Raw genomic sequence first — 23,430 nt, 5'->3', positions numbered from 1 at the left:
AAATACTTCTGCTTTGAATGATATAGAGAAAAAGATGATGCATTTTTAAGTTAAAAATCAATAATCTAATACATCCCATTTTATGAATCAATGTTGAATAAATAATACATTTTAATATGAGAAATAAACATTATTCAAAACATTGTATCTTAGAATATTCTATTTTATATTGTTGATTACATTATCCTTAATCAATAGTGGTACAGGGCTCTTCCCTTTCTACAAAATAACATATTGTCTACATCATCCAATTCAAGCATTAATGATTTAATTAAATCCTTATCTCACACTTCTGAATGATGTCAAACCTTCTATATTAAATATTTAATTTTAAAATATTTTAATTTTTATTTATTAGCAAATTAAACTATTAGCAAATTAAATCTTCATCCTGCACTTCTGAATGATATCTTAAATTCTCCATAAAATAAAATATTTAATTGAATTTTTTAAAATTTAACTATTAAATAAAATATTAGACTTTATGGGCCACATAATCTGTGTTTCATCTATTCAACTCTGCTGTTATGTAAAAGTAACTGTAGGTTATGTACATAAGAGTCTGAGTTAAGTCTGTTAATTCAGAACAAATGTGCTTAGTTGCCAGATTACCTATGATGATACTCTAATAGTAATTATTTTCCTTGAAAATTGAAATTGAATCATCAAGGCTGTAACCCTCAGATCCAGCTCATAATCTGTAATCATGCTGACATAACTAAGGGTAGAAGACGCGACCAACAGAAAAATCTCCAAATGAAGTCTCATGAGAAGATCCTCAGAAAATTATACAATTGTATAAGGAACATGGTTCTGACTCTTTCATCTAATTGAAATCTTCACCAGCATTTTAATGAAGTAAAAGACACCTCATATACTTGTTGATATGGTTTGGCTCTGTGTCTCCACCCAAATCTCATCTCGAATTGTAATCTCCACATGTCAAGGGAGGAACCTGGTGGAAGGTGATAGGATCATGGAGGTGGTTTTCTCCATGCTGTTCTTGTAAATAGTGAGGGAGTTCTCACTAGATCTGATGGTTTTAAAAGTGGCAGTTTTCCCTGTGCTCTCTCCCCTCCTGCCGCCATATACAACGTACCTTGTTTCCCCTTCACCTTCCGCCATGATTGTAAGTTTCCTGAGGCCTCTCAAACCATGTGGAACTGTGAGTCAATTGGACCTTTTTTCTTTATAAATTACCCAGTCTCAGGTAGTATCTTTATGGCAATGTGGAAATGGACTAATACACTTGTTCTTGTGTGTGTACACCTACAATAAATTTTCATGAAACAAAATCATCACCGAATGCCAATTTACTTCATTTTAGAAACAAAACCTGTCTAATATAGTCTATGGTTCTGAGAATAACTTTTTCTTTTTAGCATCAATTTTTAATATTCAAGGCACTTTAAGGTATACTTGGGTAGTAGGAATTAAAGGGTAAGGAGAGAAACTGAAAATTCAGCTAAGCAATTGATTTGCATGTTTCCTTAGCTGAACTCTCTAGAGAAGATACTACTTGCCTTTGGATAGGTTTTTTTTTTTTTTTTTTCTATATTGGACAGTTAACAGGATCCTTAGACAGATACACCTTATATTTAATATTTTTAGAAACAAGGTAATCAGAACAAAGTGTTTCTCAGTGAAATAAAATGAGATTAATCATTATATAGTAGTACAGGTGTTGAAAAAAGAAATTAAATAATGGCATGAGATAACCTAATTTTTAAGGCATCAAATTTTAAATTTGATGTTGGTCTCTTACTAACTTATTACCATACAGAAATCAGCAAGTCTCAACTTTTTGGTCTCAGTTTCATTGAAAAGAAAAATTACTTCTCATGACTGATTAGGAAAGAGCACAAGACTAAAATACACATATTAAAATATTTTTATGGGTTTCTAGAATAATTAGGTATGTCCAGACTGATTTAATCATAAAATCCATACTAATCTTTTTTTTAAAAAAAATGACAAAATAGGTTTTGGGGAGTGATTATGGATGGTTTTCAAAATTCTATAAGAATATGTGCAGAAAACAAAGAGTAGCTCAAAGGAAGAAGTAGAGATATGAGACACGTGTATTAATTCCTTCTGTTTAGTTATTAGAATTAACAACTTATTAATAAAAATCACTTTGTATTTCAATAATCAGAAATTTAGCGTAGAGATACACATGACTATGTGTGGTATACAATTAAAAACAAGCTGAGAAATAAGATAATTATCATATCCCTAACTTTAATTCTAGTTTTTATAACAAAACTATTACAGCTGTGTGAATTAAATGAATGGTAATAACCTTGTGAGAAGTAAATCGGATACCAGGATTCACAGGAACTTTCTTGGAAACCCCAGAAATGAAAGCCATAAATTACTGTAGTAATTTAGTTTTTCTTCTGCTACATTTATACCAAAACCAATTTAGAGATTTTTCTTGAAAATCTTGATAGTCTGAACTATCTGTCACAAAAAATACTATCATGAATTCTGACTATATGATGAATGTACAGGATTGAGTGGATACGAGGTACTGTCCTCCTTCAATGGTTGTCTTGGGTATATTAGACTTTAGCTCAAGTATTTGTAAGATGCTACGTGAAGGTGTTCCTGGTGAAGGTACTTACTGCTAATTTTCTTATTTTTAAACAAAATGACATACATTTATTCTAAAAGAGTCTGAGTTAAGTCTATTAACTCAGAACAAATGTGTCTACTTGCCAGATTACCTATGATACCCTAACACTGATTATTTTCCTTGAAAATTGAAATTGTACCATCAAGGATATACCCCTCACATCCAGCTCATAATTTATTATTCTGCTGACATAACTAACAAGGGGTAGAAGACATGACCAATAGAAAAATCTCCAAATGAAGTCTCATGACAAGATCCTCAAAAAAGTATACAATTGTATAAGAAATAGTGATTTTTGAAAAGAAAGATTTTATTTTGCACTGGGGCCAAAATATTATTAAGTCAACAGCAATGTTAGTCAGTGTGGCTTTAGGGTCCTCTACCCTGCTAATTTAATCTTTATTTCATAAATGGGAGCATGAAGCCGCAGCTAGAAAAGAAAGAAAGAGGGGGAAAAGAGACAGAAAGGAAAAAGATGGAGATGAGAGGACAAACCAATCAGATTTGGAGTTACCAGTCAGCAGAAGTTTAGGGAAAAAAAAATCACCAAGTGAAATCGTACATTTACTCTGAGAGAGTATCCTTTCACATTGCCTTCTAGGTGATCTCTGAGCTCCTCCAGCTTTCGATGGAGCTACATGTAAACATCAGAAAATGAATTGAAAAAGCAACTTGTTCTCTTTTCGGTTTTCCTTTTTCCTTTTAAAAATAAGATCATAGCATTATACATTTCTCACTGCCTTTGGCAAACATTTCAAACATCAAAGGTCTTTCTATAACGTAAGAATGCATGCTCAACAAACCCGTGACTAGGAAGTCAACATTTTATTTTGATTAATTACAGCATCTTTTCTCCCCAAAGCATTAGAGAAAATAAATACTATAACCATCCTTATAAATCCCCTAGAGATTCACTTTGACATTTTCTATTTTGTAGAAACATGGAGTAAAGATATTTAAATATTATGAAATTTGACTTTCTTTCCCAAACACACTTTTTGATTCAAGACTGCATCCATATTAATATAAACTGATTTAATTATAAAACGTATCTTTTGTTCTTAAACATATATATGTGTATATACATACTCATATTGTATATACACTTAAAAACAATAAACATACATTTATAACTTGAAGTTCTATACATCCAGAAGTTGAACTCGGAGATAACTGCACGCACGCGCACTCGCACATACAATCCAGTTTACAGTACATGGTGCTACAGTTATGGATGCCATTTTTATCTTTATTTCACCTTCAGTAATTTTCAAAAAGTCATGTCGTTCTGTACCTTCTCACCTGAATTTGAGTCATAATCCATAGTTTAAACCATTAATGGATTTATCTTCCTTTAAAGACAAAGATAAAATATGATACCTCACAGATAGACAGTGAGGAATGCTACTGATATATCATCAGGATACACAAACTCACATTTTTCTGACTGAATAATCTTAAATTGCCTAGTTTTTGAAATAGGCACACTATTAACACTTCCCATCCCCTCTTCTTATCCTTGGTGAAATAACATTTTAATAAAATAGCTATCCACTATAAAGCAGTGTTAGAGAACAGAGAGGATGGCTTTTCTGAAATAAAGGACACAAACATACAAACACACCTTCATCCATGTGCACTCATGTGCGTGCGCACACACAAACAAATAAACAATAACAAAAAAGTAAAGCTAAGAAGGCAGAAGAGGCAAGGAGAGGAAAGAGTGCAGAAATTAGTATTTCATAAATTGTAAAATGGAAATAAATTGGAGGTGTGCAAAATTTTGAAATGATTGAATATTAGGCCTCAAGGTAGTCATTAAATTTTAGGACATCCCAGTGCACTGAATTTTCTAGCATTTTGATTAATTTAACAGTTACTATTGCTGTTAGGGCAAATGAGATTGAGATATAAGAAAATAATTACTTTTGTGAGGTAATTCTTCTGCATATTTTTAGAATTCAGCAAATTTTCTAACTTGCATTTAAGGTGGCAGCATTAAATGTGATTGGTCTGTGTTTCATAAGAGTGATAACTTATTTACCTTTTCATTATGATTAAATGTTTGAGTACTGAGTGCCCAAGGCATATTGAGCAAATAAATATTTAGCAACTAGCAAACAAGATGATCAAATTAGAAATCTTTCAATTGTATATTAGCAGGTTATATACACAAATGGACAAACATTTAGGTATGTATCTGGTTCTGTTGATTGTTGTATCAGTTTTTTGAAATTTAAAAAATAAAACAGAGGGGATTAAGAGGGCATAACTACTATCAGCTATATGTGGGCCCATTATACTACATGACATAAAATTTCTTTCTTTCAATTTCTTAAGATTATGTGTATTGAATACATATTGTTAACTCATAATAACTTTTCTCTGAAATGAACTATAAATGGTGATGATACCAAAATAACATTAAAATTATTTTTTTTACAAAAAAAAGCTAAAAGGGGAGATAATATTCTGAAAATAAATGTTAGTTCTCTGTGTAACAGGAACTTAACACACAGTGACATCAATCAGAGGAACGGTTTATTCTAGAACCCCAAATTATAGGCACCTGTAATGAGGCAGTTGCCCTTTCTGTTGTTTGTGGTGCCATTCAAAGCTAGTTATTTGGCAGCTTGCCTTCAGCTGGTTGCTCTATGTGTAGCTGAAACAAAAAAAAAGTAATATGACCCAACAGCCAATAAAAATATTAAAATAAAAAAAATGGGATGGTGAAAAATGGAAAAAGCCCCCTTCCTCCCACCACCCTCCAAAAAGGAAGAAGTGTAGGCTATAGACGAAATCTTGCCAAAAAATGTTAGAAACATATTTACTTTGAGGGATCCAACTCTACTAGCAACTCCTTTGCTTTCATCCGGCCGTCTAATTTGCTACAATGAGGGAAGATGGGTAAGAAAGACAGAATAAAGAAAAAGTGAACTTAAAAATTTTTCTATACATTAGTAAGTAATACATGCAAAAACATCAATTGACTCTCTGTGGTAGCTCTTAGGAGGCCAAGGAGTTAACTAACCCAGAGGCTGTATGACATGCTCTGCAAATAGGCTGGTCCCTAGAATTCAGTCTTTGTTATGGCACTATCCCTGAGATGAGGAAATTGGCACTTACTTTTGGTTATCTTGGGGACTTCTGATGAAGCAGTATCTGGAGTAGTGTTACATTTGCATTTGGCTTACAAAAAACAAAGAATTACAAATATACCTATGTACTTTTCTCTCTTAGTGTTTTAGTGTCTATTCCATTGTAATATTAGAAAACATAAATGGTATGACTAGAAACATGAATGCTCTGTAGGTGGAAAGATCAGTCCTGACAAGCATCATTCTTGATAGGTGACAGAGTGAAGCTCCTCTGCTTGCTGACCCAAGCATTGAGGTTGTTCAGCTGTCACTGAGATTCCCAATTAAACAATTGTGCTGCCCAACCAGAAAATTTTAATGCCAGACCAATGTTAGATATATTTACTGCCTCAAAGCTTTCAGTTATTTTAGCTGAATTTTCCTCTTGGAAAATTTGCTATCTTGGGTAAGACGGGAAATGAAAAGTAAAACTTTTTTTTTAAAATAACTCATTTCACATTACTGCATAAATGAGCAAGGGAAGTTTCTCAACACAAAATGTTTTATTAGAGGAGGTACTTTTTAAATAGAGCTCTAATGAGAACTAATGTTTTGGATAAAGAGGGAGGCAATAAAAAAAAAACGGCAGGGTGAAGAGCAAAGGGGATAGGAAGCTTCAGACTAAGTGGTTTTACACTATGGATTCCAGAATGAGGTCTCAATTCAGACCAGCATAGGTCAAGTTAGCTGTGATGTTCCTGCTTATATTAGGAGATAGCAGAAATATCAGTGTGATGCCAAAAGTTCCCAGTTAAAGTCTTCAAGAAATAATAGAAACCTGAACATCCTATAAAATTTTATTTCCTGGAAGCAGGATATATATTGTCTTATCCCTTTTAGAAGATCTCTGATAGCATATGGAAATTGCTGAGGAATAATCATATTGAGAAAATGGAATTTTCGTTTTGAATAAAAGCATATTGCTATATAAGAGTTGCATCAACTTTTGGCTCTACTGGATATAAACAAGTTTTACTAATTTTTCAGCATTAACTAAATGTTATGGCCAAAAGATAATCACCAATTCTTACTATTCTTAGTGGAACAGAATTGTCAAATTTAGAAACAATGGATACTAACTAGAACATCAGCACCTATAAGAGAGGGGCTCCCTATGGAGTGAATTCAGAGTGAGTTCATAATATCTGCTCATCCTCTTGTGCTGTTTTCTTTGATTTCTGAGGTCTTTATATCAAAAGCTGTTTTCCATCTTAAATGCAGATTCACAATATCTAGATTATAAAGGTAGAGTTGGTAGATTCCTATAAAAATATAAGAGTCTGATGCCTCATGAGGCTTTCTGAAAATTTTCAGAAACTGTGAAGATGTTCTGAACTTACACAGTAATAAGTGAACACCATTTTCTATGTTGTCTTTTATTTCCAGAAGGCTTAAAATTACATTAAGCTCAGCAACATTAGGTATCTTTTTCAAGGTTACACTGGAAGTTGATGACAAATCTAAGAACGAAATCAACAGTCCCTAATTTCTAGTTTAAAGTAGCATTCCCTTAGCAGGCCTGAAAATATATGGGATGGAAAAAAATTAATGCTTATAACAGAATGTGTATGTATATGTACTATGTCTGTCTGTCTCTCTCCATCTGTGGAAGAAATTTTACGTTACTATATATATGGAAGACATTTTTCCTGTACCATTTCAGTTCCAAATGCAAGTATAGAAACTTAAACAATGAATTATAAGAAGAAAAAAAGACAGTTACCACTAAACTCTGAATGTAAAAACTAGATTATAAGACTGATTTATATAGAGACTTTGGGAGCAAACCACTCATCAATGCTTGATTTCAAATTTCTATAAACAAGCCTGTCTTTGAAACCATCATAAGAGGAAAACCTTAGAAAGCCAAGGTGTTTTTCAAAGCCAGAAATGGCTACAATTCAAGTTTCATCTGGCTACAATTCAAGTTTCATGTGATTTTTTTGCAGCTTCTGAAACAGGTAACAATAATACCTAATACTGAAAAACTTCAGAAAGAATTTGAAAAGGATGTCTATATAAACTAGAATTTGAGAAATAGAGAAAAGTGAAATCAGTAGATTTAAAATGTAATGTCCTTATTTATTTTAGTCCTCCATTAATCATCAGTTATAGTGGGGTAGTATACATAAAAGAAATTCACAGCTAATCCAAATGCTTGATTATTATTATTATTTTTTTGAGATGGAGTCTGGCTCTGTCATCCAGGCTGGAGTGCAGTGGCATGATCTCAGCTCACCGCAACCTCTGCCTCCTGGGTTCAAGCAATTCTCCGGCCTCAGCCTCCTGAATAGCTGAGATTACAGGTGCACACCACTGCACCTGGCTAATTTTTATATTTTTAGTAGAGACAGGGTTTCACCATGTTGGCCAGGCTGCTCTTGAACTCCTGACCTTATGTGATCCGCCTGCCTCGGCCTCCCAAAAGTGCCAGGATTACAGGCGTGAGCCACCGTGCCCGGCCAAATGCTTGATTATTACATTTTAGATAAGAATTTAAAAGAAATCACAAAAGATTAGCATTCAGATAAGATGAATGACTTTACTATTCTTAATAATAAGAGCTTCACATCATTAGCTATTTTTATTCATACTTTTCTAAAGGCAAAACACTATCAGTAGCTAAGAGAGGTTAAACTGTAAATGTTTATATTGTACTATCACGGCATTATAAACAAAGTCTGAGAATTGAATGTAAATAATTGTGAGGATTGTGGAGTAAATTGAGATTACTAGTTTACTTATATATATTGATAATCAAAATTTAGGAGCAAAACAAAAAATGTCATCATTAATCATGAAGAAATCTTTTGACAAGTATTTTACCAAGATGTTAAAAGATATTATCCATGGGATCCAAAATACTTCAATCTTCTATTCAGTCTCTCAACTAGAATATATTTAACAAAGTATTCCTTAGAAATATTCTGAAAATGTTGCACTGTATTACCTCTTTTGCAACATTCTGGGAATCTTTCCTCAGGGATTAATTACTGGGGAAACTATCCTCAGTGATTAATTACCAGGATCTGGCCTGTAGTAAAATGACTTTGACATTTCTATTTACTTTTTTTTCCAAGAATTTGGATTCTAGTAATATTATGCAACAAAAGAAATTGCCTGGATCCTAAACTAATATGTGATGTTGATTCCCTTTGATTTAGCTCAGTTTCCCAAAACTGAGCTCACTGAAAACGATTTCTACCATTAACAAGGTAGAAAACTATCTAGCCCCACCCTCACTTCTCTTGCCAAAAATAATTGTAAATGTAGTATTTTAATTAAACCAAACATATATTTCATAGCTTAAAAATCAACTTGATATTAATTTTTAAAATAAAATACAAAACTTCAAAGAAATTTCAGGCTTATGATAACTGCATTAAGGTACACTCACATATCACTGGGTATATACATTCATATTTTTCTTTAGTTACAAAATGTTTAGTGAAAATGTTTTAGAAAATGTTGTATATTTTGTGTGTTTCTTTTACTGATAAGGGAACCAAGGTCTGGAGAAGTTCAGTGGCTTTCTGAATGCATCAATAAATAATATGAAAGTACAGCTGATATTACCTTCTGACTCTCAGGTTGTTTAATTAAATTTAGTCTCTTACCTATGGAATAACGAATGTAGACCTTCTCCCCTTCTCTCCATAATACATTTTGTATCAGTTTAGAATAAAATTACATAGATTAAACCAACATTTCTTTCTGTTTGTTTGTGCTAAGGAGTTGGCCATTTTATTTTTAGATCTAGTTTACCTTCAGAACTATTCTGAGACTAATATTTTTAACCTTATTATACCATATCATGGCTTTTTAAAAAAATTATGATTATCAATGAAAAGAAATAAAACTTTTTTCTTAGAAATTATTTTCCAACCAGTATCACTCAGTATATATTGGGGCAGCTATAGATCGTTTCTGGTAGCTATGATTTGGAGAAAGAGATTTTTTTTTTAAAGTTTTGCTTAAGAGCTCAACATTTAAACAAATTCCTATAAATAACAAAGTACTTTTGGAATTAAGTTAATATTTCACTTCACTATAATATTATATTATTCAGCCCTTTCAGTAAAGCTGGTGCCTCATCATAGAACATTTTAATTTGTGATTTATTAAGATAAGTATAAAGGAAGGAAGAAAGAAATGAAAGAGAGGTGATTAATATACAAATGTGTCAAGGAAAAATAATTGCTAATGTGTTTCTGGAGGAAAGGAAATACAATTATAAAACTAAACTAATAAAAGGATAAAAAAGGTCAAGGAAAGTTGCAAAGAGTAAGAAGTGAGAAGTCAAAAGTTAGAATCATGGTGGCAAGTTACAGATCCTCTAAACCCCTCTGCCATATTTTTATCCTTAGGAAATCTTTTTCTTTTGAGACGGAGTTTCACTCTTGTTGCCCAGGCTGGAATGTAATGGCGCAATCTCGGCTCACCGCAACCTCTGCCTCCCGGGTTCAAGTGATTCTCCTGCCTCAGCCTCCCGAGTAGCTGGGATTACAGGCATGCACCACACACCCAGCTAATTTTGTGTTTTTAATAGAGACAAGGTTTCTCCATGTTGGTCAGGCTGGTCTCAAACTCCCGACCTCAGGTGATACTCCTGCCTTGGCCTCCCAAAGTGCTGAGATTACAGGTGTAAGCCACTGCACCCAGCCAGGAAATCATCTTTTTTAAAGGTTCTGATGTCTAATGATATATTAACATTTGCATTTATTTATTTATATTTTATTACACATTTATAATTTTGATCTTAAAGTTCTATATAGTTTTAATTCCAAGACAGTATAATCTATACAAAATTAGACCTTTAAATCTAATCTATATAAAATTAGACCTTTATATAAATTATTTCCTGTTCACTAACTAGAGAATAATTAAACTGAAATTATTTTTTCCAAATTTCTTATCTGTCTAAAAAGAAATTATAAAACCCATCTTTAATAAAAGAGTTATTATGTGGGTTAAAATAAATAACCTTTAGGCAGCACATTATATGTTCTTAATTTTTTTTATTATTTGCACATGAGACCAAAAAAAAGTTTATCTTTGAACTTTCACTGAAATATGATAAAATTTTCTATCCAGCAGGATTAAGAAGAGACTGGCTTAGCCTGGATGTAAAAATGCTGTGGTATACAGGCATACCTCGTTTTACCGTGCTTCATGGATAATTGCATTTTTTACAAGTTCAAGGTTTGTCTGTGGCTACCCTGTGTTAAGCGAATCTATCGTCACCAATTTTCCAACAGCAAGTGCTCACTTCCTGTCTCTGTGTCACATTTTGATAATTCTTACAATATTTCAAACTTTTTACTATGATTATATCTGTTATGGTTGTCTATGATCAGCGATCTTTGATGCTACTTTTGCAATTGTTTTGAGGTACCACAAATGGTGCCCATGTAAGATAGTGAACTGAACTGATAAATGCTGTGTGTGCCCTGACTGCTACACAGACTGACCATTCCTTGTCTTTCTACCTCTCTGTGGGCTGGCCTCTCTATTCCCTGAGACATAATAATATTGAAATTAGGCCAATTAATAAACCTACAGTGGCCTCTAAGAGTTCAAGTAGAAGGAATAGTTGCATGTCTACCACTTTAAATCAAAAGCTAGAAATGACTAAGTTTAGTGAGGAAGGCATGCTGAACGCTGACACAGCCAGAAAGCTAGGCTACTTGTGTCAAACAGCTGAGTTGTAAATGCAAAGGAAAAGTTCTGGAAGGAAATTTAAAGTGGTACGCCAGTGAACATATGAATGAGAAGAAAGTGAAACAGCCTTATTGCTAATATGGAGAAAGTCTGAGTGATCTGGATAGAAGACCAAACCAGTCACAACAGTCCTTAAAGCCAAAGCCAAATCCAGACCAAGGCTGTAACTTTCTTCAAGTCTATGAATGCTGAGTAAGGTGAGGAAACTGCAGAAGAAAAGTTGAAAGCTAGCTGAGGTTGGCTCATGAGGTCTAAGGAAAGAAGATGTCTCTATAACATAAGAGCAATGTGAAGCAGCAAGTGCTGCTGTAGAAGCTGCAGCAAGTTACCCAGAAAATCTAGCTAAAATCCTTGATGAAGGCAGCTATACTAAACAACAGATTTTCAGTGTAGATAAAACAGCCTTATATAAATGGAAGCAGATGTCATCTAGGACTTTCATTGCTAGAGAGGTGAAGTTAAAGCCTGGCTTTAAAACTTAAAAGGACTGGATGACTATCTTGGTAGGGAATAATGCAGCTGCTGACTTTAAGTGGAAGCCGATGATTAGTGACCATTCTGGAAGTACTATGGCCTTTAAGAATTATGCAAAATCTACCCTGCCTGTGCTCTACAAATGGAACAAGAAAGCCTAGATGACAGCACATCTTTTTGCAGCATGGTTTACTAAATATGTTAAATCCACTGCTTAGACAAAAAGATTCCTTTCAAAATATAAGTATTCATTGACATTGTACCTAGTCATCCAAGAGCTCTGATTGGGATATACAAGGAGATAATGTTTTCATGCCTGCTAATACAACATCCACTCTTCACCCTACAGATCAAGAAGTAATTTCAACATTCAAATGTTATTATTTTAAAAATAGATTTCGTAAGGCTATACAGTTGCCATATAGTAATTCCTATAATTGATCTGAGCAAAGTAAATTGAAAACCATCCAGAAATAATTCATTATTTTAGATGCCATTCAGAACATTTTTGGTTCATGGGAGCCCAGAATATCAACATTAATAGGAGTTGGAAGAAGTTGATTCCAACCATATGGATGTTTAGGAGTTGAAGACTTCGGTGGAGGAGAAAGAACTGCAGATGTGGTAGAAATAGCAAAAGAACTACAATTAGAAGGGGAGCCTGAAGTTGCGACTGAATTACTGTGATACTCATGATAAAACTTTCACAGATGACAAGTTTCTTCTTATGAAGGAACAAAGAAAGGAGTTCCTTGAGATGAAATCTACTCCTGGTAAAGATGCTGTGAACTTTGTTGGAATTACAACAAATGATTTTACATAAATAAACTTGATTAAGCAGCAGCAGGGTTTGAGAGGATTGACTCCAATTTTGAAGGAAGTTTCACTGTAGAAAAAATGCATTCAAACAACATTGCATTCTACAGCAAAATCTCTTGTGAAAGGAAGGGTCAATCGATCTGGCAAACTTGTCTGATTTTAAGAAATTGCCACAGCCACACCAGCCTTCAGCAGCCACTACCCTGATCAGTCAGCAGCCATCAGCATTGAGGCAAGACCCTCTACCAGCAAAAAGATTATGACCTGCTGATGGCTCAGATGATTGTAATAACGGTTTAGGACTAACGTATTTTTTAATTAAGGTATGCACAGTGTGTTTTTTTAGACATAATCCTTTTCACACTTAATAGACTACAGGAGAGTATAAACATAATTTTTACAGGTACTGGGATACCGAAAAATTTGTGTGACTCACTTTATTGCAATTTTTGCTTTATTGCAGTGGTCTGCAACTGAACCTACAATATCTCCAAGGTATGCCTGTAAATATAGGTATAAATAACTCTAGTTGGCTTTATTAAGTTTGGCTACAAATCTGAAAAATAGGCCAAAGGACATCCGTGTAATTACCAGATCCTATCTAAAAAATACACAAACAAAAACCAAACAGATATGTATATTTTCCTGGTTTTAAAAATAATGTATATTGTGAAATAATTTGCTATTCTATTCCTACACAGTATTGTTTACTAATTTTTAAACTATACATTGTAGTTTCAGCATTTTCTCATGTCATTAAATATTCTTAATGAGATGATTTTTAAGGTTATAGAATAACTTATATATGTGTGTACTATTAATACAAGTTATTTTCCATACACATTAAAATTATTTCTAATTTTTCACAAATATAAATAATGCTGTGATAAAAATTCCTGTACATAGTTTGAGATGGCCTCTTTAATAATTTATTTTGGATACATTTCTAGAGACAAAATGACTGATTAAAACATAATTTTTTTTTTTTGAGATGGGGTCTCGCTCTGTCACCCAGGCTGGAGTGCAATGGCGCGATCTTGGCTCACTGCAACCTCCGCCTCCCGGGTTCAAGTGATTCTCCTGCCTCAGCCTTCCAAGTAGCTGGGACTACAGGCGCCCACCACCATGCCCAGCTAATTTTTTGTATTTTTAGCAGAGACAGGGTTTCTCCGTGTTAGTCAGGATGGTCTCGATCTCCTGGCCTCGTGATCCATCCGCCTCGGCCTCCCAAAGTACTGGGATTACAGGCATGAGCCACCGCGCCCGGCCTGTATATACTTTTTAAGTAGAGAACACAGGTATACAACACATGTGTATGAAAGGTTATACGAATTTATTGCTTGAAAGGTTATATTCCTATTAGTCTGAAAAGAAATACTCATGTCATTGCTCATTACAGTACTGATGATTATAGTTTTTAAATAGTCATCAATTTGATTGCAAAATTTGTGTTGTTTTAAATTTTTAGTAGATTTCTAGTGAGAGTGTACTCCCCCCCCCCCCACATATTTCTGTGCTGCATGTATTTATTTTATTAAATGACTATGCTTACCTTTTACTCATCCTTTTTTTACTTTTTCCTACTGGATTAGAAGAGCTCTTTGAGGTTGTCAACCCTGTATATGGTAGATTTCTTGTAAATATTTTATTTTCACATATTACCACTATAAGCTCCTTAAGAACAGGGTTAAAATGTCTATTCATTGCTGTATCCCCAATAGCTAATACAGTATTTGACATATAATATGCATTTAAAAATATTCACTGAAATATTCAATGAATTTCTGAATTACTCTGTGTTTTCTCTTTAACAAAAGTAGAATGAGTAGGGAGATAATCCTGAAATTTTGGGCCAGAAAATACCTAATTTTAGAATATGTATCCTTGTAAGATATGAAGATCCAGAGGATAGTTTACTATGGGATGTACTCTATATTAAAGTCAAAATGGGATATTAAATAGCTCTAAATCATGCCAATATCTAACAAATTTTGTTGCTGAAATAATGATAGGACGGACCACTTATATTTGTTGGGCTGTTTTATACAAAATATGTCCCAAACAATTAAAAACAGTTGAAATGAATCAAAGCTATTTAATTATACTGAATGCTAGTATTCTTAATTTCACAATTTCTTGTATTTCAACAGTTCACTTCCCTATCTTCTCATAACTTGAACAAAACTAGAGTGGATATCGAGAGAAATCAATATTTCATTTAACAGAGACAAGCTTTACCTAAATGTAAAAGATCTTAAGTGAAGTTAGAACATTTTCTGTTAATAATCTCTGTCTCTAGTACTTTATGTACTAGAACAGAATGCAAAAGATAAACACATGTAAATTATTCTGTATTAATTGGAGATTAATAAAATATCAGAGAGAGAAGGGCTTAAAAATATTTTTTAGTTGATACTGGAACTATTTCAAAAGAAAAGAATTATAAGCCTACAAGGGACTTTAGAGGTTATTTAATATCTTGGTGTTACAAATAACAGAAACTGAGGTCAACTAGTCCTCATAGTTTTATTTATTTATTATTTTTTGAGACAGAGCCTTGCTTTGTCACCCAGGCTGGGAGTGCAGTGGCATCATCACAGCTCACTGCAGCCTTAACCGCCTGGGTTCAAGTGATTCTCCTGAGTAGCTGGCACTATAGGCACTTACCACCATGCCCAGCTAATTAAATTTTTTTTTTTTTTGTAGAGACAGGGTCTCACTATGTTGCCCAGGCTGGTCCTGAACTCCTGGGCTTCAGTGATCCTCCCTCCTTGGCCTCCCAAAGTGCTGGGATTATAGGCATGAGCCACTGTGCCCAGCCCTCATAAAGTTATAATATGGTAGCCTAGGGCTGGTACTCAATATGCTGTGCCTCGCAGTATAATATTTTTACACACTCAAGCTTGTTAGCTTTTCAGACGACTTTGGGTTTATAGTTTTTAAATGTCTGCCAGTAAATCAGTCAAATGCAAATGCTAAAAACTGCTTCTTCCAATATATCATTAAACTCATGAAGACATAAAAATGATCTATTCCTGCTGTCAATGTAAAATATAGAAATCTTAGACCTAAAAGTTCTGCATATACTTTCAATAAAAGTAGAAATAACAGAAGTTACTGAGTTTGATTAAGAGATGACTCCAAAACCTTTAACTTCTGAAAGATTATCTACAGCATTGTTTTTAAAACTAGAAAATAAGACACAACAAAAATATCCAAAATACGGGTTGGTGAAAAAACTATGTCACATCTATCAATTAGAATATCAAAAATCCAAGTAATATTGTAGAAGGTAATTTACAACATATAAAGATGTTCATGACATAGAAAGATGCTCATATTACTAAGTAAGCAAGATAGGTTAAAAGCTATAGACAATTTAATAATAATGGCTACTGTTTAATGAGTACTTATATTTTAATCATTGTGCTGTGATTTATATACATTTTTAACTTAAATTCTTAAGACAACCCTATGAAGCAAATAGTATCATTATTTTTCATTTTACAGATGAGATAATTAAGGTTATAGAGGTGAAGTAACTTTTTGAAAGCCACACATGTATTAAGTGATTCATCATCAGGCCTGTCAGACTCCAGAAACTGAGCTCTTAATCACTGCCTTCTTGGTATGATAAGAATTTAAATGCATAGAAAAACATAAGAGAATGATACATAGCAAAATTTTAACAGTGGTTATTTATGAAGGGTATTTTATAAGAACTTTTTTATGTGAATTTTAAAAATTTTTTCCAAATGAGTAAGTACATTTTTTTTAAACAAAAAAGAAACTATACAGAAACTATACCACTTACAGTCTGTCTTAGCTATAAAATGTTAATTCTACAGTTAGCAATTTTTGGTTTGCTATATCTTCTCAGATATCAAATTTCATTTGCAAGTTTAGACTTCAGAGTGGCAATTATACATTTCATAGTTGTTACATTTAGCTTCAGTAATAAACATAGCTCTGTGACCATTAAATAATTAGAAATAGATGGGGAAGTTTCATTTTCAATTATCATTATAATGATAATTATAATGAAAAACAAAGGGGACACTTGCATGAACGAAAAAAGAAAAATCGAGGTAAAATCCTACATACCCAGCAGAACATCAGAGGAAAACTATTGAAAATAAGTTATAGACCAAAAATAGTTAAAATGCTTTATTGTGTAATTTTAGTTTCATCAAAATATTAAATTCTTTCCCATACTAGGTAGTGCCTTTCTCATTAGAAAAGGGTGTAAAGGAATTGTCTTTTATTTGAAGTCTCAAAATTCTGCTTCGCTAACAAATGAGAATAAATCCCCAAACAAACATGTTATAAGGGAGGAGAAATTAGATAACAGAGAATTAGGGCAGAAATCAGTTACTTAAATGTCCATAGGAGTCAGGCATTTAATGTAAGTGAGTAAAATAGTCTGGAGGGTCTAAAGAATATTAGCTGAGTATTGATATAGAGTATTATATCAGTGGTGGGCCAGCAATGTTGATCTGACTTTTTAGAAAACAGTGAAAATTTGCATTTTTATTTGAATTTCCCACATTTTAAATGTTCTAAACTGATTTCAAAAATGAGCTATCCCCAGTTATATACTCAATAGAATTATCTGCCAACAACCAGGTTATTTCTTTTTTTCTTTTCTTTTTTTGTTTTTTGAGACAGAGTCTTGCTCTGTCACCAGTCTAGACGGCAGTGGCGTGAGCTCAGCTCACTGCAACCTCCGCCTCTCGGGTTCAAGCGATTCTCCTGCCTCAGCCTCCCGAGTAGCTGGGATTACAGGCGCCCACCACCACGCCCAGCTAAATTTTTGTATTTTTAGTAGAGACAGGGTTTCAGCATGTTGACCAAGCTGGTCTTAAATCCTGACATCAGGTGATCCACCCGCCTTGGCGTTCCAAAGTGCTGGAATTACAGGTGTGAGCCACCACGTCTGGCCTATTTCTTAAAAGAGGGCTTTGTATGTTATCTATTAGTAGACAGAATATCCTGGGGAAAATTAGTTATTATCCAAGTGCAGAAGTAATACCACATTGAAAATGAATGGAGTTAGCTGGGAATTATAACTTCTGGTCTTATATCTTCAAAAATTTAATGAAGTCTGTCATTGGAATCAGAGAGGTGTAGGTGTTCCCTGCCCTAGGATTAACCTGGATCACAGAGGACAGGTAAACTATTTATAATGCTTAACCATGGTACCGGTAGTCATTGGATCAGATCTCTTGGACTGAGTATACCACTATAATACTGCTTCTATGGAAAAAAAATATATATATAAAGGATTCAATAGCCATCATTTTCATCCAGAATATTTTCAAGAAACATAAGCCAGTTTGCTCATTTGATTTTATCAATGGTTCTTTAAGTTGATCCACAAACCCATGAGGGTCCTGGAGACCCTTTCAGGGCTTGACAAAGTCAAAATTATTTTAGTAATAGTACTCAGACATTATTTGCCTTTTTGGCTACGTTGACATTTGCACTGATGGTACAAAATCAATGGTGGATTGACATCCTAGTATAAATTAAGGCAGTAGATCCAAGTAGTATGAACAATCACTGTTCTATTCACTGCCATCTTCTGTTTTTCTTTTTAAAAAAGCTAGTTTGAAATACTGTCCTCAATGACATAGTAAATTTAATATTTACTATATCCTCAATGTAATATTTACATTTACATGAGTAATTACAATATTATATGACAATATTAATACACATTAAATTTACTATTTAATATTAGTTAAATTAAATTTAATTAATTAAAATTAATTAAAACTTGGCCCTTGAATGTGACAAAATGGGAAAATTAAATTAATTAAAACTTGAGCCTTGAATGTGACAAAATGGGGCGTATGAACAAAATACTTCTGCATACCAAAGGATGGTGGTTGTCTCAAGGAAAATCACTTATTTATGCAATTGTTTGAGTTGTAAGCTGAATAGCTAGTTTTTAATACAGAATACCATTTTTACTTGAAAGAATGAAATAACTAATAAATTATTATTATTCAGACTTAGATGTTTGGTATACATTTTCTCAAAAATAAACAAAGTCTGTCAATTTAAGAAAAAACTATTTGTTGCTTTTTTGCCAGTAATACTATTTCTAGCTTTTTTCTTTTTTTTCTTTCTTTTTTTTTTTTTTTTTGAGACAGACTCTTGCTCTTTTGCCCCGGCTGGAGTGCAATGGTGCAATCTCGGCTCACTGCAGCCTCCACCTCTTGGGTTCAAGTGATTCTCCTGCCTCAGCCTCCCAAGCAGCTGGGACTACAGGCATGTACCACCACACCTGGCTAATTTTTGTGTTTTCAGTACAGACAGGGTTTTACCATGTTGGCCAGGCTGGTCTCGAACTCCTGACCTCAAGTGACCCGCCTGCCTCAGCCTCCCAAAGTGCTACGATTACAGATGTGAGCCACCACGCCCAGCCCAATTTCTAGCTTCAAAGCATAAATTAGAACTTAGAAAATGTCTATGTGCCACTATGAGCTTAAGAGCTTCCAGTACATTCCAGACTTTTTAGATGAGCTTGGTGATTATATTAATGAAGGTGACTTTTTGATATAATATAACAAAATATGTCAACTTTTGGAAGAATTTATATTTTCCAAATGACCAATATATGTGTTCCAAAATCATGCCTGGGTAAAAGATCCATTTGAAGTGCAAGACAGACCAATGGATTTTAAGGTGTGAGTATGGAATGGTCCTAGCCAGGGTTTTAGATTCAACATTTCAACTAACCTTTACTAAACTAAAAATTGTAAATTTTTGGTATGGTATCAAAGAACATCCACAATTATAAAAAAATGTGAACAATATAGTCCTTCCTTTTCTAACTATATATCTATATGAGGCTCAATTTGTTTATTCTTCAATCAGAACAACATATTACAAGACTTAATACAGAAGCAAATGTGAGAATCCAGCTATTTTCTATTAAGCGAGATATTAACATATATTTGAAAAAATGTAAAACAATGCCATTATTTTCAGATTTTCTTTGGTTGTGGAAAATATACTTATTTTTTCATAAAATATGTTGTTTATGTTAACATGTAAAGGCTTTACTATTTTTATTTCTAGCTAGATGGAGTTTCGTTCTCGTTGCCCAGGCTGGAGTGTAATGGCATGATCTTGGCTCACAGCAATCTCCGCCTCCCGTGTTCAAGCGAATCTCCTGCCTCAGCCTCCTGAGTACCTGGGATTACAGGCATGTGCCAACGCGCCTGGCTAATTCTGTATTTTTGGTAGAGACAGGGTTTTTCCACATTGGTCAGGCTGGTCTTGAACTCCCTACCTCAGATGATCCACCTGCCTTGGCCTCCCAAAGTGATGGGATTACAGCCACCATGCCTGGCCCTCAGAATTCCTAGTACAACAAATATTGTTAGATATAACCCACATAAACAGAAGTAATTTGGGGTCCTTAATAATTGTTAAAAGCATGAAGGGGTCTGGAGACCAGTATGTTTGAGAAATGCTGGATCTAACCAATAATGCAGAGAATATTATTGCTCAACACCCCCCAGATGAGGTAAATGTTCACAAAAGAAAACATATTTTTGTTCAGAGAATGTATTTTTGATCTCACTAATTCACTGGTTTCCAACCTTTTTGTTGTGTGTTGACGGTATGTGTAGAATCTATTTCTATAATGTCATTAATAGCTGAACATATTGTCATACCAATGTTGATATAATTTCAGCAAAAGCAAAGAAGCTTGATGTCTAGTATAGTCTTATTGATTTTGGTTAGGCTCTTAAAAATAGGAAAAAAATAATTTGCCGTCACCAGTTAGTGACTTGATTTAGGCTGGAAGTATGGCCATTTTATGAGCTTCTCCAGAGACTTGGGAACCCAGGTTTAGCCAATGACCTAGCCATATCACATAATCACCCTGGTGTTCACAAAGGAAAATAGTGACAATATTCAATACTTTGTAAAAACTAACACTACTAGGAAAACATCCCAGAGAAAATATTATGCTGATATAGAATCAGCAGTGCCATTTTTATAGGTAAAGGAATTCACACTGCCTTTCAGACTCATACATTAAAAACCCTGAGTTAAGAATATAACTTAACCAGAGCAATCTAAATTCTTTTGCTCAAAGGACAGTAAGAGAAACCTACAAAGAAGTAATAATTACATATTTTGTTTGAATATAGTATTAGACATTAGTGGATTAAAGGTATATATCCCTCATATAAAGATATTTCAATACATCTACATTTTAATTGTTGTATAAACTTTAGATATTGATAACTTCAATTAGATATTGATAGTATTTATATTTTCTTCCTAAGAGCAAAAAAAAAAAAAAAAAACACAACTTGCTGGTTATTCTAAGCACAAAATTCTTTGCTAACTTTTAAGGTACAGGAACATATGTGACTATAGACTATATTTACTTACTCAAAATCAAACTTCAGATGTTTAGGGAATAAAACGATAATAAAATTAGTGTTTAAAAATATTCTTCATTTTAATAACATCTAAAATGAATGGTAAATTGAAAGTTTGAAAAATTTTTATTTTTTGCTGTAATCATTATTTTCTGCCTTAAGCTTCTTGATTTCTTTTCCTTTCTTTCTTTTTTTTTTTTTTTCCTGGAGAGAGAGTTTTGTTCTGTTGCCCAGGATGGACTGCAGTGGCTTGATCTCATTTCACTGCAACCTCTGCCTCCCAGCTTCAAGCAATTCTCACACCTCAGCCTCCCAAGAAGCTGGGATTACAGGCATGTGCCACCACACCCGGCTAATTTTTTGTATTTTTAGTAGAGATGGGGTTTTGCCATGATGGCCAGGCAGGTCTCGAACTCCTGTCCTCAAGCAATCCACTGGCCTTAGCCTTCCAAAGTGCTGGGATTACAGGCGTGAGCCACTGTGCCCGGCCTTGATTTTATTTCTAAATAGAGATGCTGCTGTCCTTCATAATTGAAAATCAGCACTCATCTAAGCTATGAATCATGCTCACTTTAAAAGAGAATTTATCAATTACAGAATTATTCTTCCAGCAAATCATTTTTAGAAGACTATCATTATTTTAGAACTTGAGTCTAGATATTGTCTATACTTCTTTAAATATAATTTATGTACTATTTGACTTAGGCACTATTTTACTCAGGACAATGAAAGTCAAATATCCCAACTTTGTTCTTGAAAGATACTTCACTGTCATAAAGCAAGAGGAGTGAAAATTATTCCTCATTTCAGTCAGATTTCATTAAAAGAAAATATATGATATAAAAGAGAAATGACTTTTCCCTATATACGATATAATTTCAGCAAACAAATTTGCTGGAGAAAATATAATCTATGAAGAATTGTTAAGAAAAGATAATACATGGTTATCTTCATTAGGTTGTAATGAGGGTACCAAAAAAAACAAAAAGAAATCAAGACCTGGTATAGTTTTATAGATTTTGTTCTCACTATAGCTGGAGAATCTTAAACGGTCAATATATAATTTAGGATGTTATACTGCAATATATCTATATATTGGTTAAGTGCTTCTGGTAGCTATTTCCATAATATTATGTATTCTTGATAATCAATTCTAGAATTTATTATGCTTTATTTTAATTTTTAGTTGTCTGATCTATTTGTAGAAGTTGGAACAATGTCTACTTGCTCACTGTTGCTATTCTACTACCAGGCAAAGACTTATTTAATGAGTTAATAAACACTGTTGTAGAGGTAAGGATGGTCAGTCAAATAATAGACACAAAACTCAGTAAAGTTAAGTAACTTGCTTAATTTACTGTGGTTATGAGGTAGAGAAAAAAGCATTTCCATCCAGATCTTCTATTATCAAGTCAAGTGCTCTTTCTAGTACCGATCATTCAAAACTATATTGTATTTCTGATGTAGACAAAATACGTTTGCACATACATTTCTGTGCATGAAAATCTGTGCATGCCGAATTTGAAATGTAGAAAGGATTTCTATGGGATTTGGCTAACACTAATATGTACTAAGTTATAAATATCATAACCAAGATGCAGTAAAAATAAGAATTTCAAACTCAAATTGTATTTCCAATTTTGTGCTGGATATCACTCCTTGGTTGTCTCACATATGCCTCAGATTAAACACATTCCCAATCAAGATGCATTAAACTCTTTTCTTTTACCCTCAAGACTTGGTACTTCTCTTTTATTCCTTGGTATAGTTAATAACATTATTGTCTACCCAGTATCTCAAATTTGAAACCCCGAAATTGCTTTTGGACTTCTCGGCCCCAAATTTTTATGCTAAAAAATTAAAATAAATTTTAATTTTTTATTAAACAGAGCTCGGTGCTAAAATCTATGGTCTTGATATTTGACTCAGTGGGGAAAGGCAAAAAGATTCATTATTTTAAATAAAAAAGAACAGATATTTGAAATTGGCTGTTGACATCACTGAATTAGACTATTCACATACTAATGAAGTTTTAGTGTAAGAGTTCTTGATTGGTGACACCTGCCTTTAAAGTGGTCATTATTGATCAATATAATTCCTAAAACCTCCACATAGCACAAAAGCTCACATTTGGTTTTCATTCATTCTTCACGCCCCTGGTGAAATGTTAGGTCTTCTCTACTCACCCTATCTAAATGAAGTTCCCCTGCTATTATTTTCTACTACCATA

General features: G+C 33.5%; 1 protein-coding gene across 23 annotated transcripts in view, besides 1 other annotated feature; it reads right to left on the bottom strand.

Moving 5' to 3' along the window:
* GPHN (gephyrin) overlaps positions 1-23,430 on the bottom strand; it is a 1,227,209-nt gene that overhangs the window by 744,148 nt on the left and 459,631 nt on the right. For 7 of the 23 annotated variants that reach the window (XM_017020913.3, XM_011536343.4, NM_001377514.1 and 4 more), the window contains one exon: positions 5,470-5,526. The exons of 4 other annotated variants lie outside the window; for them this stretch is intronic. In XM_017020913.3, the coding sequence (XP_016876402.1) occupies positions 5,470-5,526 (57 nt within the window). 12 more of the 23 variants (XM_047430879.1, XM_011536340.4, XM_011536344.4 and 9 more) reach the window with 5 other exon arrangements.
* Positions 22,929-23,098: an enhancer, noted in NCBI's record as "experimental_36038 CRE fragment used in MPRA reporter constructs". NCBI's record gives its function as "activates a minimal promoter by MPRAs in K562 erythroleukemia cells, with activity observed for both the introgressed and non-introgressed 14:67434912 variant alleles {active_cell/tissue: K562}" and the evidence as "EXISTENCE:reporter gene assay evidence [ECO:0000049][PMID:34662402]".

Source organism: Homo sapiens, chromosome 14, assembly GCF_000001405.40.
Source record: "Homo sapiens chromosome 14, GRCh38.p14 Primary Assembly".
NCBI lineage: Eukaryota > Metazoa > Chordata > Mammalia > Primates > Hominidae > Homo > Homo sapiens.
This window is presented reverse-complemented; position numbering and strand designations above follow the sequence as displayed.